The 20057-nt window shown below is 37.1% G+C and overlaps 1 protein-coding gene across 22 annotated transcripts in view; it reads right to left on the bottom strand.

Annotated features, from left to right (window-relative positions):
- KDM4C (lysine demethylase 4C) overlaps positions 1 to 20057 on the bottom strand; it is a 454786-nt gene that overhangs the window by 150429 nt on the left and 284300 nt on the right. For 20 of the 22 annotated variants that reach the window (NR_148680.3, NR_148677.3, NR_148678.3 and 17 more), the window contains 3 exons: positions 13341 to 13522; positions 11219 to 11432; positions 9291 to 9367 (listed from right to left, as the gene is read on the bottom strand). Coding sequence is in view for 16 of the 22 variants with exons in the window: in NM_001146696.2 (NP_001140168.1) it covers positions 9291 to 9367; positions 11219 to 11432; positions 13341 to 13522 (473 nt within the window). In the remaining 6 variants the exon portion in view is untranslated. Of the gene's footprint in view, positions 1 to 9290; positions 9368 to 10812; positions 11433 to 13340; positions 13523 to 20057 lie in introns of those variants that run through there. The other 2 variants (NR_148679.3, NR_130707.4) reach the window with 2 other exon arrangements.

The following is a 20057-nucleotide window of genomic DNA, read 5'->3' as shown; positions in this document are numbered from 1 at the left end:
AAAAAGATATTCCATGGCGACAAAAGCAAAAAAGAGCTGGAGTAGCTACACTTGTATCAGTCAAAATAGATTTCAAGACAAAAACTGTAAGAAGAGAAAAATAAGGTCACTATATAATAATAAAGAGGTCAACTGAGCAAGAGAATATAACAATCATAAATATATATGCATTCAACAGTGGAGCACCTAGATATATGAAGAAAACATTAAAAGTCACGAAACAACAGGTGCTGGAGAGGATGTGGAGAAATAGGAACACTTTTACACTGTTGGTGGGACTGTAAACTAGTTCAACCACTGTGGAAGTTGGTGTGGCGATTCCTCAGGGATCTAGAACTACAAATACCATTTGACCCAGCCATCCCATTACTGGATATATACCCAAAGGATTATAAATCATGCTGCTATAAAGACACATGCACACGTATGTTTATTGCAGCACTATTCACAATAGCAAAGACTTGGAATCAACCCAAATGTCCAACAATGGTAGACTGGATTAAGAAAATGTGGCACATATACACCATGGAATACTATGCAGCCATAAAAAATGATGAGTTCATGCCCTTTGCAGGGACATGGATGAAGCTGGAAACCATCATTCTCAGCAAAGTATTGCAAGAACAGAAAACCAAACACCACATGTTCTCACTCACAGGTGGGAATTGAACAATGAGAACACATGGACACAGGAAGGGGAACATCACACTCCAGGGACTGTTGTGGGGTGGGGGGACGGGGGAGGGATAGCATTAGGTGATATACCTAATGCTAAATGACAGGTTAATGGGTGCAGCACACCAACATGGCACATGTATACATATGTAACAAACCTCACATTGTGCACATGTACCCTAAAACTTAAAGTATAATAATAATTTTAAAAATTCAAAAAAAAAACACCTTGAAAAGAAAATTAAAAAAAAAAAACGAAAACATTAGAGATAAAAAGAGAGATAGACTCCAATACAATAACAGCTGGAGACATCAACACACCACACTCAGCAATGGACAGATCCTCCAGATAGAAAAGTAACAAAGAAATATCACACGTAATCTACACTACAGACCAAATCGACCTAACAGATATTTACAGAACATTTCATACGAAGGTCACAGGATACACATTCTTTTCCTCTGCACACAGATCATTCTCAAAGATAGGTCATGTTAGGTCACAAAACTTGTCTTCAAACGTTCAAAAAAAGTGCAATAATATCAAGCATCTTCTTTGACCACAATGGAATAAAAATAGAAATCAATAACAAAAAGAATTTTGGAAGATGTACAAACACATGGAAATGAAACAATATGCTCCTGAATGACCAGTGGGTCCATGTAGAAACTAAGAAGGAAATTGAAACATTTCTTGAAACAAATGATAACAGAAACACAACACACCAAAATCTATGGGATACAGCAAAAGCAATACTAAGAGGAATGTTTACAGCTGTAAGTGCTTATATAAAAAAAGAAGAAAAACTTCAAATAAACAACCTAACAATGCATCTTAAAAAACTACAAAAGCAAGAGCAAACGAAACACAAAATTAGACGAAAAACAATAATGAAGATCAGAGTAGAAATAAGTGAATTTGAAATGAGAACACAACAGATCAATAAAACAAAAAGATGTTTTTTAAAAAGAAAGAAAAACAAAACTGACAAACCTCTACCCAGAGTAAGAAAAAAGGAGAGAAGATCAAAATAAATAAAATCAGAGATGAAAAAGGAGACATTATAGCTGATATTACAGAAATTCAAAGGATCACTAGTAGCTACTAGGAGCAACTATATGCCAATAAATAGGAAAATCTAAAACAAATGGGTAAATTCCTAGAAATATTCAACCTACTAAGATTGAATCATAAAGAAATCCAAAACCCAAACAGACCAATAACAAGTAATGAGATCAAAGCCATAATAAAAAGGTCTCCCAGTAAAGAAAAGCCTAGGACCCAATGGCTTCAGTGCTGAATTCTACCAAACATTTAAATAAGAACACCAATCCTACTTAAACTCTTCCAAAAAGTAGAGGATGAGGGAACACTTCCAAGCTCACTCCGTGAGGCCAGTATTACCCTGATACCAAAATCAAAGGAAACATCAAAAAGAAAACCACAGCCAATAGCCCTGATGAACACTGATGCAGAAATCTTCAACAAAATACTAGCAAACCAAATTCAACAACACATTAAAAAGATCATTCATCATGACCAAGTGGGATTTATCCCAGGAATGCAAGGATGATTCAACATATGCAAATCAATCAATGTGATACATCATATCATTAGAATGAAGAACAAAAACCGTATGATCACTGCAATTGATGCTGAAAAAGCATTTGATAAAGTCCAACATCCCTTCATGAAAACCCTCAAAAAACTGGGTACAGAAGGTACATACCACAACACAATAAAAGCCATATATGACCAACTCACAGCTAGTATTATTTTAAGTGGTGAAAAACTGAAAGCCTTTTCTCTAAGACCTGTAACACAACAAGGATTCCTATTTTCAACACTGTTCTTCAACACAGTACTGGAAATCCTAGCCAGCGTAATCAGACAAAAAAAAAAAAAAGAAATAAAGGGTTTGCAAATTGGAAAGGAAGAATTCAAATTATTGTTGTTTGCAGATGATATAATCTTGTACTTGAAAAAACTGGAAGACTCCACCAAAAAACTACTAGAACTGATAAATTCAGTAAAGGTGCAGAAAATCAACACATAAAAATCAGAAGCATTTCTATATACCAACAGTGAACAATCTAAAAAAGAAATCAAGAAAGTAATCCCATTTACAGTAGCTACAAAGAAAAGTAAATACCTAGGATTTAACTTACCAGAGAAGTGAAAGATCTCTACAATGAAAACTATAAAACACTGATGCAAAAAATTGAAGAGGAAACAAAAAAATGGAAAGATAATCCATGTTCATGAACTGGAAGAATCAATACTGTTGAAATGTCCACACTATCCAAAGCTATCTAAAGATTCAATGCAATCCCTATCAAAATACTAAAGACATTCTTCACAGAAATAGAAAAAAAATCCTAAAATTTATATGGAATCACAAAAGACCCAGAACAGCCAAAACTATCCTAAGCAAAAAGAACAAAATGGAAGAATCATATTGCCTAACTTAAAATTATAATACAGAGCTGTAGTAACCAAAATGACATGGTAATGGCATAAAAACAGACACTTAGATCAGTGGAAGAGAATAGAGAACCCAGAGGTAAATCCATACATCTACAGTAAACTCATTTTCAACAAAGATGACAAGAATATACATTGGGAACAGGACAGTCTCTTCAATAAATGATGCTGGGAAAACTAGATACTTAAATGGAAATGAATGAAACTTGACCCCTATCTCTTCCCATATACAAAAATCAAATCAAAATGGACTGCAGACTTAAATCTAAGACCTGAAACTATGAAACTACTAACAGAAAATATTGGGAAACTCTCCAGAATACTGGTCTGGGCAAAAATTTCTTGAGTAATACCCCATAAACACAGGCAACGAAGTAAAAATGGATAAATGGGATCACATCAAGTTTAAAAGCTTCTGCACAGCAAAGAAAAACACAGTGAAGAGACAACCCACAGAAAGGGAGAAAACATTTGCAAACTACCCATCTGACAAAGGAGTAATAACTAGAATATAAAAGGAACTCAAACACTATAGGAAAAATATCTAATAATCTGATTAAAAAATGGGCAAAAGATCTGAATTGAACTTCCTCAAAAGAAAATATGCAAACGACAGGCCAGGCCCAGTGGCTCACGCCTGTAATCCCAGCACTTTGGGAGGCCGACGAAGGCAGATCACCTGAGGTCAGGAGTTCGAGACCAGCCTGGCCAACATGGTGAAACCCCATCTCTACTAAAAACACAAAAATTAGCCGGGCATGGTGGCATGCGCCTGTAATCCCAGCTACCCAGGAGGCTGAGAATTGCTGGAACCTGGGAGGCAGAGGTTGCAGTGAGCCGAGATTGTGCCACTGCACTGCAGCCTGGGCCACAGAGCAAGACCCCATCTCAAAAAAAAAAAAATACATATATATATATACACACACACACACACACACATATATATATGTATGTACAAATGACAAACAGGTGTATGAAAAGGTGCTCAACCATTGACACTCTTCACAAAATCAGAAAAAACTAATTGAACACATGAAGCCAGAGACTAGGAGGATGGTTACCAGAGGCTAGGAGGTAACCAGAGGCTAGGAAGGGTGGTGGGGGTGAGGGGAATGGGAATGGTTAATGGGTACAAAAAAAAAAAAAGGAAAATGAATAAAACAGTATTTGCTACACAGCAAGGTGACTACAGTCAAAAATAATTTAATTGTACATTTTAAAGTAACGCAATGAGTATAACTGGATTGTTTGTAACACAAAGCATAAATGCTTGAAATGACGTACACCCCATTTAACCTGATGTGGTTATTATGTACTGCATGTCTGTATCAAAGTATCTCATGTAACCCATAAATATATACACTTACAACATACCAAAAAAATTACAAATAAAAATATTTTTTAAAAAGTAGTGAGATGTACATGAAGAGTCAACATAATGAGACACAGATACTAATATCAAGAGTATTGACTTTTGATACCTAAAATCTGGATTTGGTAATGTTTGGAACGTGCTCTAAAATGATTATATAACAAAGGAGGAAAAATTGCTCCAAAAAGAATTATATAAATTGACCAAAAAGGGTTTCAATCAAACAGAGCTGAAAATGAAATAATAAAGCTGATTTATAAGCCATAAGTCAAACGCTATAGCTGTCAGATAGTTGTGCCTATTTATTTGGGTAATACTGAAATAGGGTAAGGCAGGGACTCAAAGCGATGATATCTAATTGGAATTATGAAATATATAAACTGTATCCAAGGATTGACAGTTATTTGTGGAGTTCTTTGTATCATTTCATTTCAGTTGAAGTTGGGCATAGGGCCATAATTCTAGAATCCAAATTAGGGTACAATAAAAAATTGTAACTAATCTCTCCTCAAGCATATGCAATTGAAGCTGCAATATATATTTTGGTTTTTATTTTAATGGACGTGAATGGAAAAGTAAGAAAATGGGAACACAATGAATCAGAGTGACGTCTGAAGCTAATCTTTAGAAATGATGAGGACACAGAAAGTCACAGATAAAGATCCAGCCCACATCACTATGATCTCTATCTTCCTAATTTGAGTCTAGAGCGACATCTACTCTTTAGAATTGGAAAATAAAAAGAGAGCTGATCTATGATTATTGACTCCAGCCATGCGTACACCCTCCACTTTCTGTTTTGCCCAGGCTGAAGCCGAAAAAATTACTCCATTTTAGTATGAATTTATTTATTTATGTCTGGGAATGGGTGAAATAATAAGATGTCTTTGCTTCTAAAATATTTTTATATATAAAAATATTATATTTTTATATATAAAAATATTATATTTTTATATATAAAAATATTATATTTTTATATATAAAAATATTATATTTTTATAATATAGTCTCTCTTTTTAAAGAGAATCTTTAAAAAATAGAACCACCACATACAATTCTCATATACCTCATAAAAAATGAACACGAGGCGTTGAAAAGCACTTACCATGAAAGGAAACACCAACAGAACAATTAAATTTGTTGTATAATCACGTGTCTCAAACTGAATATGCTATAGGAATATTTTACGTTCCTGATGAATAACCTTACCTTCACAAGGCAGGTTTTTTAAAAAAAAAATTCCAGGGAATTAGGAATGAGAGTTAGTGAACTACAAGCCACCAATGAAATATCATCTGACTTCAGCTGCACTATTTGATTTCCATGAGCTCCTTTAGAGCCCTTTATTTACAAGGAGGCTAGGGCTCCTCTGGAGTGTAAAACTGAAGATATGAGATTGATTGCTGAAGAAGTCAGTTTTAAGGATACTTTAAAAATGCAATCATTGCAGCCACAAAATTTAAAGAAATCATACTTAAGTGTTTAGTAAAAATTAATATTGTAACACTCACCACGACACTAAATCAGAGGGTTAAAGTCAGAATATCAATACTGTCAGTTACTTTTCTACAATATTTAAACTTCATTCAATTATTTTTTCAACAGAAATAGGAAGGGAGCTTCATAGAAAAAGTACACTCAAATGGATACGCTGAAAAAACAAGTGGAATCCACTGTGAATTCAGATCACTTACAGGTAGAAATAAATTATGTAGGTCTAAAAATCATTGTAATGTTATATTCAAGAGTTCCCAGTTCAACTGTAAATTGACAGAGATTTACATAGTTTCAATATTAAAATACAAATAGCAAGATTGTATTTTCTGAGGGGGCAAGGAGTTAAAATTAATAGAAAGATGCTTTAAGTCTATTCCAAAGAGTGATTAATCATAGCATTTTCTGTATGAAACATGCTACATGAAAACAGCATAATCAATCAGAACCAGCTTTAGAATCAGGGTGAGTGGCCTAGGCCTGGCCCTAGGTTGCCATGCAAAGACAATGGTACCTTGGACAACAGGACTGCTCAGTGTGTGAGCACAGGAGCCAGGCAGTAACTGTGGATGGAACAGAGAACTCTTAATGCCTTGGTGAGCTGATCAGATAATCTCTAACTTCTAAATTTATGATTCAGGGCGAAGGAGATAACATCACTGACCAAACTGATTCTGCAATACTTTATGTTGGCTCATATACTAGGAATAGGACCTATATAATAAATAAGAGCTTGATATATTTGTATGGTCAAGATTAGAAGCAGGACTTCCTGGCTGTGTTAAATATGCTTTACATTTATTAACATAATAATCACATGAAAGGAAATATGGTCATGTGTCACATAAAGACATTTTGGTCAAAGATGGACTGCACACATGACAGTAGTCCCATAAGATTGTAAGGCTGTTATGTCTTTTGTACCTTTTCTATGTTTAGGTACACGAACACTTACCATTGTGTTAAAATTGCCTACACTACTCAGGACATTAGTAGCAATGGGCTACATCGTACAGCCTAGGTGTGTAGCAGGCTATACCATCCAGGTTTGTGTCAGTACACTGTATTATGTTCACACAATGACAAAATTGCCTAACGATGCATTTCTCAGAATGTATCCCTGTCATTAAGTAATGCATACCTGTACCAAAATGCTTTCTGGGCCCACTGATGCAGGGACTTCTTAAATGGGAGGTAAAACCTCTAACATTAAATATACCAGATTATTCAGACCATAAAGAGTGTCCATATTTTTATCCCTTCTTTCACTCCCCAAAGTGAATGCCAGCAATAAAATCATCCAGAAAGACACCACTCTCAGACTTACTGAGAACTAAATATACACAGTCATGACAAAAATTTTCATCATATAAGGCGTATTCTTTATATTGTCATTCAGGTTTTTAACTTCAGTTGCAAGGAAGTGTAATTCTCTGTCATTAGAGATCATTGAGGAATAAAGTAAATGCTGCTATTACAGCTGAAATCATCGAGCTGAGCACCTGCTCTGAGATCATGAGTGAGGCATACACTGCTGAGGTCTGATTGTTCGTCACTTTCAAGAATGTTCTGATTCCTCTTGAAAGACAATTTTTAAGAAAAATTAAGGTAAAACTTAATCAAATGGCAACAAAGTTGACATAGATTGTTAGAATGGAAAACAAAGATTTGAAGTAAGCTAAACTTTTATAACATTATTATTATTATTATTTTCTTCTGCCCCCAAAAAAATCTGCAGGAAAGTAGTAAGGTAAATTTTTAACAAGGTCTTTAGAAAAACAATTTAGGTCAAGTCAATTCTTGGTCTCTAAATAGGGGATCATTTGTTATTAAATATTCTGCCTAAAATTCACAGCAATGCCTAGTACAGACCAGAAACTCTAAAATGTATTAAAGTATAAATGTAAGGATGAGTAAGTGGGGAAAGACCTCATGCTAGTTGAAAAGTTAGATATGATGTCAGGCACAGGGGCTGATACCTATAACCCCAGCACTTCAGGAGGCCAAGGTGAGAGGATCACTTGAGCTCAGGAGTTTGAGAACAGCCTGGGCAACATAGTGAGACCTTGTCTCTACAAAAGAATTTAAAAATTACCCAGGCATGGTGGCGCATGCCTGTAGTCCCAGCTACCCAGGAGGGTGAAGTGGGAAGATCACTTGAGCCCAGGAGTTCGAGACTGTGGTGAGCCATGATTGCACCACTGCACTCCAGTCTGGATGACAGAGTGAGACCCTGTCTCAAAAAGAGAAAAATAAACACTGGATATGAACACAGTTTCTTCAGGGGTCACTGAGGATCCCCCACCTTGACTGTTACTTGAAATACTTATTTTCAAGTATTGCAAAATAGGGATGGACAAGAAAATGAAGAAAAATTCTGAAGCCTTGAAAATGTAAATGTGGACACGATAAATTGACAGTCCCTGCAGCTTCCTAAGTAGAGGACTGCCACCAGAAATTTACCTAATAGTCGGGCACAGTGGCTCACGGCTGTAATCCTAGCATTTTGGGAGGCCGAGGCAGGTGGATCAAATGAGGTCAGGAGTTCAAGACCAGCCTGACTAGCAAGGTGAAACCCCGTCTCTACTAAAAATACAAAAATCAGCCAGGCATGGTGGCAGGCGCCCGTAGTCCCAGATACTCAGGAGGCTGAGACTGGAGAATTGCTTAACCTGGGAGGCGGAGGTTGCAATGAGCTGAGCTCACGCCACTGCATTCCAGCCTGGGCAATGGAGTGAGACTCCATCTCAAAAAAAAAAAAAAAAAAAGCCAGGAACAGTGGCTCCCGCCTGTAATCCCAGCACTTTGGGAGGCCGAGGCGAGCAGATCACAAGGTCAGGAGATCGAGACCATCCTGGTTAACACGTTGAAACCCCGTCTCTACTAAAAATACAAAAAATTAGCCAGGCGTGGTGGCGGGTGCCTGTAGTCCCAGCTACTTGGGAGGCTGAGGCAGGAGAATGGTGTGAACCTGGAAGGTGGAGCTTGCAGTGAGCCAAGATCTTGCCACTGCACTCTAGCCTGGGCGACAGAGAGAGACTCCGTCTCAAAAAAAAAAAAAGAAAATAAATTTACCTAATATTTCTATAATGGATATAGAACCAGCAGGTAAGATGCTTTTGAGAGGGAAGACTAGAAACACAAGGAAGTGCAGAACTGCACATATAAGCACCTGAGCAATCTTATCTTTTCCCTAGACTTAAATGTGTCCACAGTGGGTAGGGTGGGAAGAAAGGTTAAGCAATACTAAAATAAGCTACTTACTGCTGTCCACGCATTTCTTTTGCACCGGGCACACAGCCATCCATCACAGATCTCATGAGAAGGAATACCATAACAACCTATAAAATAATAGTATGTATCCATGCGTTAGGTCTTTTTCACCTTTAAAATATTGCAGATCTCAGTACTGAAATAAATAAAAATGGGACACTAGCCTACCATACTGTCTTGATTCTCACTGTATAGAACAAAACATAAGCAAGGTGAATGTGAGTCTTACTGATAACTAACACAACAGTTACAGTGAATACTTATGGAACATCTTGAATGGGTAATAAAATTTTAAACTGTCAAGTCTACTAATTTGTTCACACACAGACATCTTAAAATAAGTTGCAATCCATGGGGCAAAGTTTAAGGAAATGTCAAAAATAATATAATAAATACATTTTAACCTAATATTTTTAAATTAATATAATTTAAAATTGCTTCAAAAATTAAGTCTAACTACCTTTAACCTCAATGATAGGGCAAATGCTGCAAATTCAGAGTTAGCAATGAAGGAGTATTTTCAATTCGATTTGTCTATTCAGTTCACGCCTGACCCAAAATAACTATCTAAGGTGATGGCTGATGATGCAAATATACATAGCAATTATATGGCATCAAGGAACACATGTCACTCTGACTTCTTGAGATAAGAGAATTCTGAAATATTTAAATGAGTAATTTTTAATATTTCCAATATTAAAAACCCCTCCGTATAAGAGGGTTAAGATTTAATGAGTAATTTTTGAAAATTTCTGTAACATTTGAGATGAAAACAAAATAACAGAAATGTAATTTCCCAAGGAAAAAACCTATCACAGTTAACCATGTCCATGAAATAATGAGTTAAAGCATATGTGTATAAAATAGTATGGCTACACTGCATAGCTGCTACATTCAGGAATCAGATTATATCCCAATTATTTTGTGTCCTGGTGCTTTACCTATTGTATACACATAATAATGTAAGGTGTGTGTGTGTGTGTGTGTGTGTGTGTGTGTGTGTGTTACAAATTGCCTTCAATACAAAAAGAAGATGGCTACGATTATATTTCAAGCAGATAGCATTTAAATCCCTTGAGGAAGTAGGTAGTCTCTAATTAATTAATAAATGATAGATGAGGAAGCTGTTTCAACCCTAATACAAAGGAATTATTACTCTGAGGTAAATACAGAAGATAATATCTATATTATAAACCATTCAAACTACATTGACAAAGTACAGGCCATACCTAAGTGTGTTACTAGAATGTGTGATTTGGTAAGATCTGGAATATTAAAATGCCTTAAAATAGAGTTGTATTATATGAGATCCCTTTTACATAGTTCATAGGATTTACATGGCAGACCAATAAATATTTACCACTTATCCAATTGTTAAAAATAATAAATTGAGATAGGTGTGGAGACTATCCCAGTGCAGGGGTAAAACAACTGTAATGACTGTTCTCCCCTGGAATACAATAGAGATTCCTATCCTCACGAATGAAAAAAAGTTAACTCAGTACAACAATTCTCAGAACAACCAAAGGAACATTCATTTCTCTTTTAAAAGTCACAAAGAAAAGCAGTCATCAATCAGTATCAGACTTTCAAATTAAGTTTTTATAAACTAGATCTTAAAGTAAGTAAAATCCAAACATGTGAAAGGAACCCCATCATGACTCCTCAACTGGACCCCAAACAAACAAACCAACAAAAAAAACCAGACCTGCTCTCCACGGATACTACATGAAAGTGGTGAAAAAAGGATGAATATACCAACTCATACTTTTACCAGCAGAAATATGAAAAAGAATGATATAACCATTAAGAATGCCAATAGTCCATGCAACAGATCTGACAGGTTCCAAAAAAGTGAGAAATAAAGATGATGTGAAATGCTGAAAAGCCAGTGATTGATGAATTATAGATCCATTTACTTGCATGAACCCGTACGCAGCACTTTGCACAGGAAATAAGGAGACTTGTTCCATCCTCTTCAAGGAAGGCATTGGGTGGAGAATATTCTATATTTTCTTCACTATAAATAAAACACATCTCTGGTATGAGGGGCTTAGTCTTTCCCTCCGATGTAACGACTTCATCTAATTTTGTCTCCCATCTAGCATCATTTTCTTCATTGCTGCTATCTGGCTGAAAAACATAACGTTTCCACATGAGTGAAAAACATGGAAAAGAGCTCATCATTCTAGTCACTCAAATCCACTAACTCCTGTTCCAGACACTAACTTCTAACTTTTGTTCTTCCTGTTGTTCTCCTTGACCAAACTACTAGTTTTTTTTAAATCAATATTCCACCTCAGACTCCCACCCAAATGTTAATCTGCAGGAAAAGGACAATATTCTATATGTCTGTTCATATAAGAAAGCAACTGGCTACTAAAACTGTGTCTTTCCAAAATTAGTTCGTGGAAAGCATCAATTCTTTTGCTTCTTCATATGCACTAGAGTTAACAGATCTGTTTTCATTTACTGAAGAATCATACCTTGCTACACTTGAAGGAGTGTACAAAGACCCCAGTTTTAATCTGTGCAGCAGTATTAAGAGAGGCTTTAAGAATTTTTGCCTCATCACTTGCAGTATTTGAAAGCAAGTGAGAGAGAACTGGCACATGTCACTAAATAAGAAAGGATAATGTATCAAACAAAATTATCACCTCACACCAAAAGATTTTAAAAAGTTTAGTACTTACTTGAAAGTATAAGTAATGAATTACCTTACAGATTTTATATTACTTTATGTTTTATACTGTATTACTTTATATTAAATCTCCACAAATCTTATTATTTTAGTTTGAATTTTTTAATTATTGAGAAATATACAGATTATAATATAGAAATAAGAATCAATAAGTAGTTAAAACCCAGAAATTTAATGACTAAAGGAAGAGAAAAATAATGTTTGTCACTCACCAGTGCCACATTAAAAAACATGAAGGGAATAAATTATTTCCTCTGTTACAAAGGTCTGAAAATGTGAGATATCACACATTTTCTTGCTCTGAAATGTCTGAACAGAACAGTTTATTTTTATAAGGAACTCTAAGACAGACATAATCTTGAATAAAATATTTGTTTCTATAAATAAAAATATAACCCAAAACACAATGTTCATGTCAATATACTTCATAATATATTGTACCTTAAAATGAACCACATAGTTCCACCCTTACGAGATTCCTAAAAATATTTCAACTGTTTGAGTGCTGAGGACTGTGACCCTCCATTAGCTGAGGTGCTATCAGTATAATATCTATGGAATGACGCTGAAAACAACATCACGCACAGCCAGCTGATGAGGATGAACTGGAAAATTTAGTTTGTAGTGAGTCTTGGCTGTGTCTTTTGCATGTTCCACATGGGAAGGTGAAAAGAGACACTTAAAATTTGGACCTAGGGCTGACATTTCTATTATTTGAGAATGACGTTTTCAAACAAAAAAAAACAGAGATTAAGTTTAAGTTCTCTCTTTGAAAGCTTCTACTATTTGTAAGCTTTAAGTTCTGTGTTTCTTAGTAAAAGAGATAGAAAAGTTGAAAGTAACCCACCCATGAAATAAAATAAGATACTCAAAAAAGATTTGGGAGACCAAAGCGGAAGGATTGCTTGAGGCCAGGAGCTCAAGACTAGCCTAGGCAACATAGTAAGACCCAGTCGCTACAAAAATTAAAAAATAAATTTAAAAAATTAGGCAGGTATGGTGGCTCACACCTATAGTCGTAGCTACTGTGGAAGCTGAGGCAGAGGGATCGCCTGAGCCAGAGTACAAGCCTGCACGGAGTCATGATTGTGCCACTGCACTTCAGCCTGGGCAACAGAGCATGACCCTATCTCAAAAGGAAAAGATAAAGTACTTTCAGAAAAGTGTCTCTCAAGGATCATGTAGAAACTGTTTGTGGTTCTATGAAAGCCATCAGCTACCTAAGGACGTCTTCCTTCTTATGTGCAAAGGAAGCCCACAACAATTTACAGTGATCTTGTGGTATGTGGTCACATGGAAGGCAGAGCAGTGAAGGGAACTATGATAGCAGGCTCCTTTACCTTGTGGTACGGCATGAGCAGAGTGCAGATGGCACAGTGTGGCTTCATCCTGGCCACTGTTGCATTATACTCTTGCTCAGCTGCGAAGTTAGGGGACTTCGTCTGCCAAAGGTGGATGAGAGGTTTCGCCCAAGACTCTGTTTCTTCCACTTCCTCCTCAATGGACAGAACCTCAGGCAATTCTTAAGGGAGAAGGCAGGAAAATACCATGAGCATGGGAACCAGGGAAAACAATCACCCTGAGTACAAAAGAAATAAACATTCCACAGAATCTGTGATATTAAGGCCGGAAACCAAACCTACTTTGTCTTTCAAATACATCCTGAGAGAGCCAGGATAAGGGAAGTTGCCTTATAATCCTCCTCAAGCCTCAAAGACTAGATCAGATCCCACGGCCAGACAACCACCCTCATTTTGTAACCCTCCCTATCCCTACCAGAAATAATTACACTGTTCCCTCCTTCCCACATTACTTCTTCCGTGTCTCTACTGCTACGGTAAAAGCTCCAATACTAAAACAGGTTTATGTGTATGAGATTATCTTCTAGTTATGAGAGGAATTCACAGTCCAGAAACTACTTTGCCAATATTTTTACTTTCTTCATCTAACATAGTACATGGCTCAATAAAAGTTTAACTGAACTTCATTGAATTAAATTCTGGGTTCAAGAATTTATTACAATTAACATTTACAGAGCAGCTATAAAGTACCAAGCAATATACTGGCATTACATGGATATAAAAGAAAATCCCTAGTCAGATCTTCTCATAAAATACCCCTAGAGAGTCAAGTCTTTAAAATGTATATTTCTTTTTCTTTCTTTTTTTCTTTTTTAAGATGGAGTTTTGCTCTTCGTGCCCAGGCTGGAGTACAATGGTGCAATCTCAGCTCACTGCAACCACCGCCTCCAGGGTTCAAGCCATTGTACCGCCTCAGCCTTCTGAGTAGTTAGGATTACAGCCACCCACCACCATGCCTAGCGAATTTTTTTTGTATTTTTAGTAGTGGAGTTTCACCATGATGGCCAGGCTGGTCTAGAACTCCTGACCTCAGGTGATCCACCCACCTCAGCCTCCCAAAGTGCTGGAATTACAGGCATGAACCACTGAGCCTGGTCTAAAATGTATATTTCTTTACTCCACAAGAACAGCACTTTATAAAATCTTACAGAGCACCAGAAAAATACAGAAAGACAAACATGTTAGAAAAATACTCTTCAATGCCTATAGCAGAGGGCAGTACATCAGAGCAAGTGGCCAGAATAAAAGCTGCACCCAGTGTCTAGGGCTGTGACACATTCTAAATATCTGCATAAGTAGCTTTCAAAGTCTGATCAATAAATACTGTAGAGCAATGTGCTTAACTACAAATCACTGGTGAGTAAGTGTGTTCCAGCCCTTCCCATGTTGACTTACCTGTTTTAGAAAAAGTCAAATTAGATTTGCACTGATGGCAAAATGGGAAGGACTGAATGAGGCTGAAAATAACTCAAAATATGTCAAATGCCAACTGTAGCACAAAGGGTGGCATTATTATCATAATAATCACGTTATCATGGTTGTTGTTGTTATTATTTTTACAATGGAAAACACTTGGTATTCACCCATGGGTAGAGTATTTGAAAACAAAAGATAAGAGTCTTTGCCTATATTTGCAATGAAGTAATCTGACTCTAAATGTAACCTGTTTCTCGCAGCACTTGGCCTCACCATAATAGCAAAAGGAGATGGCTAAAAAATTATTATAGCATAGGATATACTACAGCTAATTTTATGCATTTATGATTTAATACTGCACCTTTATATTTGGTTACATCCATGTTTGTGTGCATATGTTGTGACAAATTTTAACTTTTTATAATAGATTTATGTTTATAGTAGTAAATGATAAAAGTCTTGTATCTGCATATATTTTATGCCTTCATGACATATCTTTTTCTTAATTTTTTAAATATTTCTAGGCTACATGATTCATTTGTGAGTTTTTTCAAATTGTTCTGAGTCTATGAGAAATGTTCTAATGTATTTATTGAAAAAAATTGCATGTAAGTAGAGTCAAACAATTCAAACCAATGATGTTCAAGGAGTCAAGTGGAATTGAAAGATAACCACAGTTCTCAAAATATGATCTGTGAACTCCAGGGGATACACAACCCTGTTGCATGGCATCTACATAGTCAAAACTACTTTCATAATAACACCCATGATTTGACTATTAACCATTTGAGATTTGTAACGGTGATACGAAAGTAGTAGAGAGTAAAATTGTTGGTGTCTCAGCATGAATCAAGGCAGTGGCACCAAAGGAATCATTATATTGACTACCTCATACTTACAGAGGTAACAAAAAGGCAGTTTCTCTTAATAACACCTTTGATGGGGGGAAAAAAGCATCAATTTTATTAAATCTGTGAAAAAAAAAGAATGTATGCATAAAATATTTCTGTACACACTAAAGTTCAAGAGTGTTCTTTAAAAAAGCACTTGAGCAATTAATTGAATTGCAGGTTGAATTACCTGCCATTTTCATGGAACGCCACTTTTTCCATGAAAAAAATTATTAGCAGACAAACTACAGTCATTCAGACTTGGGTGGCTGGCAGAAATGTGAAGCCCTCTGTGGAACTTTTCAGTTCAGTTATTGTGTTCTTTACCTCCAGAATATGTTTGGTTCTCTTTTATGGCTTCTATCTCTTTGTTGAAATTCTCAACTTGTTTGTGCATTGTCTTCCTGATTTCATTTAGTTGTCTATCTGTATTCACTTGCAGCTCATTGAGCTTCTTTAAGATTATTATTTTGAATTACTTTTAGGCAGTTTGTAAATCTATATTTCTTTATTGTTGGTTACTGAGGTTTTATTTTGTTCCCTCAGTGGTGTCATGTTTCCCTGATTATTCATGATTCTTGTGACCATGAGTTGGTATCCATGCATTTGAAGAACTAGTGACTTATTCCAACCTTTGTAGACTGGCTTTGGCTTGGACAACCCTTCACCAGTCAGTCCATCCAAATTTTCTAGGCAGGCCATCTGGCATGGTCCAAGGGTAGGCTTGCTCCTGGAATCCTCCGGCCTTGTGTCTGCGTCAGTATGTGAGCTGGCCTGGTACCTGGGTTCATGGGGTTGGATCTGGAGCCTAAGTCCACCATGTAAGAACTGAAGCTTGGGTCTACTGAGTTAGGCCAGGATCTTGGGTTCACGGGGGCCAGCTTGGCACCAACATTCCACTGGTGTGGTCCTGTCAACTGCATCCACAGGGATGTTCCTGGATGTTTGGTCTGTGGGAGTTGGCCCAATGCCAGGGTCTTCTATGGTAGACCTGTACCCAGGGTTCACTAGGGCAGGCATGAAACCCAGGTCCACAAGTGCTGCTCTACATCCTAGACCAGGGGACCAGCTTGGAGCCTGGGTCTGTGGGGGTTGTCTTGGCTCTGGAGTGAGCCTGGAGTCTGGGACTGCAAATGCTGGCTACTGTTGAGGCAGACTTGGAGGCTGGCTCCGTGGGTGCTGGTCTGGAGTCTAAGGATGTGGGTACTGACCTGACACTTGAGCTAGTCTTGAGGCTGAGAGATGGCCTGACACTGGAGCAATCCTGGAGGCTCAGTCTGCAGGTACCAGCCAGGAATCCAGGGCGGTGGGACTGTGTGGTGCTGGGTTTCACTGCAACGGACCTTAGATTGGGATCTGAGGCAAAATCTGTTTCTCACATCACTCTCCTTCCCACACAGGTATCCCTATCCCTCTCCTCACTGTACCGCCTGGGATTAGGGGAGTGGTAATACAGGTAATGCAAAACTGTCCTTCCTATCTCTTCAATGCATCTTTTTTCATGTCTGTGCTATACTCAGGTGCCATCATCTCTCATCTGGTTCCTGTATCTCTTTTGAAGGCATTTTTGAGCATTGATAGTTGTTAAATCGATGTTTCTGCCAGGGGACAAGCGCTGTGAAGTCCTATTCCACTGTCTTGCTGATGTTTCTAATTATTTTTTATGGGTTGGGAAAATCATTATTTTTTATGAAAATAAATGTAACTTTATGTAAATGTTGTTTTTATTGCTATTTTTAAATGAATTAATATAATTTAAATTTTCCCTGGTGTGATTTCCAGTAAGTAAATATCAATAAAATGAACCCACAAAAAAGGAAATAAAAGAATCTTCTTTCAGGTCCTCAGAAGAGATAAGAACATAAGGCTTCCTGAGACCAAAAAGACTGAGAACCACTGCCATATACATGTGTACATTTTTCTAAAAGTGTTAGTATCAAAGAGTCACTGCTAAACAATACAGGTCTTAAAAACACCTGATGTAGGCTTCAATCTTAAAGCCAAGCAGTAACTTCATAATCAGCTTGCCTTAATCAACTTGAAATACTTAAGCAAAAAGAAAACAAGAGTCAACACAGCAAAAAGGCCTCCTTTTCTCCCTAGGTTCTTTCAAGAATGTCTGCAAGGTTTGCCAGAAATTGAAGAAAACAAAGATTTTATGCCAAGAGCACTTCATTTTTTTCTTCCTCAGTCAGTGAGCCTCTTACTTCATGGTGGAAACCCGTACTCCTAGACTAAGATTTTTACAAAAACATTGTCATTCCTTGTAGCAAGTAACATGCAGTCAAGAAAACCATGAGCCTAAATACAAAGCAGTTCCTCAAATCTATGTAAGCCTTTCTAAATTTACAGAAGCCCAGTATACCAGGCACCAAGGTATGTGGAACTTTGTCCTAAATAAGGAAACATAAGCAGTGGCTAAAAGGGCCATCCTATGTAAGAGGGCTAGCGCCTAAACAAACACTACTGTGAGGTGGAAATGGGGAAACCAGATACTAACTTGGATCAATGTACTGAAGAAACCTGTTGAAAATATTGCCACCTTGGCAACAATACCTTCAATAGCTGTTTTCAAATTTTTTAATCGCCATGTCAATAAAAATAAAAATTTATTTTATAAACTGTTTCATTTTATAAACGAACTTGCCTATAGATGAAACTCCTGGATCATATACACAATAGACTGAAATTTTTTTTATAGTAGTATTAAAAGTATTCATTCTCACTTAGACCCAGGAAACCAATCATCACCTCTTACTCTGAATATTTCTGGCAGAATTAAAAACTCGAGGACAAAGGTAGTAGAAATAGCTATGCAAGCAGGGCCTAAAAATAGTCCTCAAAAAGAAATATGAGTTAAAACAAAAATATGTGATTTATATGTGTGCCAGCTGGGTATTAAGAAACTGACCACAACTTCTGCTTGTACAATTACCTATAGGTAAAATCACAGTAATTAGCCATTCACAGCCTGCTTACAACCCTCCCTTCTCAGCCTTTCCAAGGTGTCTTAAATGCATCTCCAAAGCTATTCTCCCTGCTTGCCATTCAAATCACACCGCCCACTCCTCAGGACCATAAACAATTCTGTTTTTCAAACACCTCAAAGGGATAGCTAGATTTCTGTCTTGTCATTGATCATTAAATAGACAATCAGTATCACCTCTGATGCTCAAGCAATGATTCCCCAACAGTCAGAGAGGTCTGCCTGGAAGAGACTCAACCCCACAGGACATGTTATGAGAAGGGGAGGCCCCATTAATTTGAAGCACAGGAAATTCTAAAAACTTTCTGGTTCTAATAAGAAAGTCAGGCTTGCTGAAATTCACTTTGAGTATCTTAAGACATTCAGAGAAACTCCAAAAGTTTTCTACTTATACTAATTTGCAGTATTCCTGCAGATTAATAAAACTTCCCAAGGTGAGGGTCACACTGAGATGTTGTTAGCAACGGTGTAAACATACAGTGTTTATTTCAATGATTATTTTTCGTTGCTTTTTATACACATTAATTTGTATCACTTTTCATACAAAAGTGTAAACGACTTTTATGTAAAGTAAAAAGTCACACTAGAAAATATATATTTGAAAACATTAGTCCAAGTGACACCAAATTATTCTAAGATAAGCATGGCTTTAAGTGTAGAGCTCTGCTCCAACCTATCAGAATAAATTAAAATAATGCTTCATTCATGCAGTCTATACAGTCTTGGTTGGGTGATGATTCTAAACCTATTTCTCAATCTGTAAAATGAGTACAAGATTAGTTAAATGTCAGGGTTTTCCAACAAGTTATATGAGATAGCCATAAAGCTGCTATTTGCTGGTATGCGCAACCTAGTACTTCAGGACATGATGATCCTTCCCCTCTAGGCCTCCAACATAATCTCTGCAAAGGTCTGTGGGGGTTCAGTCAGGCTGGTGGGAAAAATTTTAGTTATAATAGCCACAAACCCTCTTGGAAGCCTTGAGAGTTTGCAAAATTTCGGTAATAAATCTGGCTGAAGGCAGCCTAGTCCCCTTACCTTTAGTTAAATAAATTAGAGTAGAAACAAAGGAATGTGGGGCGTTTATCTAACTCACTTCTTTACTCATGTGGTCTTTTTTTTTTTTTTTTTGAGACAGAGTTTCACTTTTGTTGCCCAGGCTGGAGTGCAACGGCTTGATCTCGACTCACTGAAACCTCCGCCTCCTGGGTTCAAGCGATTCTCCTGCCTCAGCCTCCCGAGTAGCTGGGATTACAGGCATGCGCCACCACGCCCGGCTAACTTTGTATTTTTAGTAGAGATGGGGTTTCACCATGTTGGCCAGGCTGGTCTTGAACTCCTGACCTCAGATGATCTGCCCACCTCAGCCTCCCAAAGTGCTGGGATTACAGGTGTGAGCCACTG

Source organism: Homo sapiens, chromosome 9 (genome assembly GCF_000001405.40).
Source record: "Homo sapiens chromosome 9, GRCh38.p14 Primary Assembly".
Lineage (NCBI taxonomy): Eukaryota > Metazoa > Chordata > Mammalia > Primates > Hominidae > Homo > Homo sapiens.
This window is presented reverse-complemented; position numbering and strand designations above follow the sequence as displayed.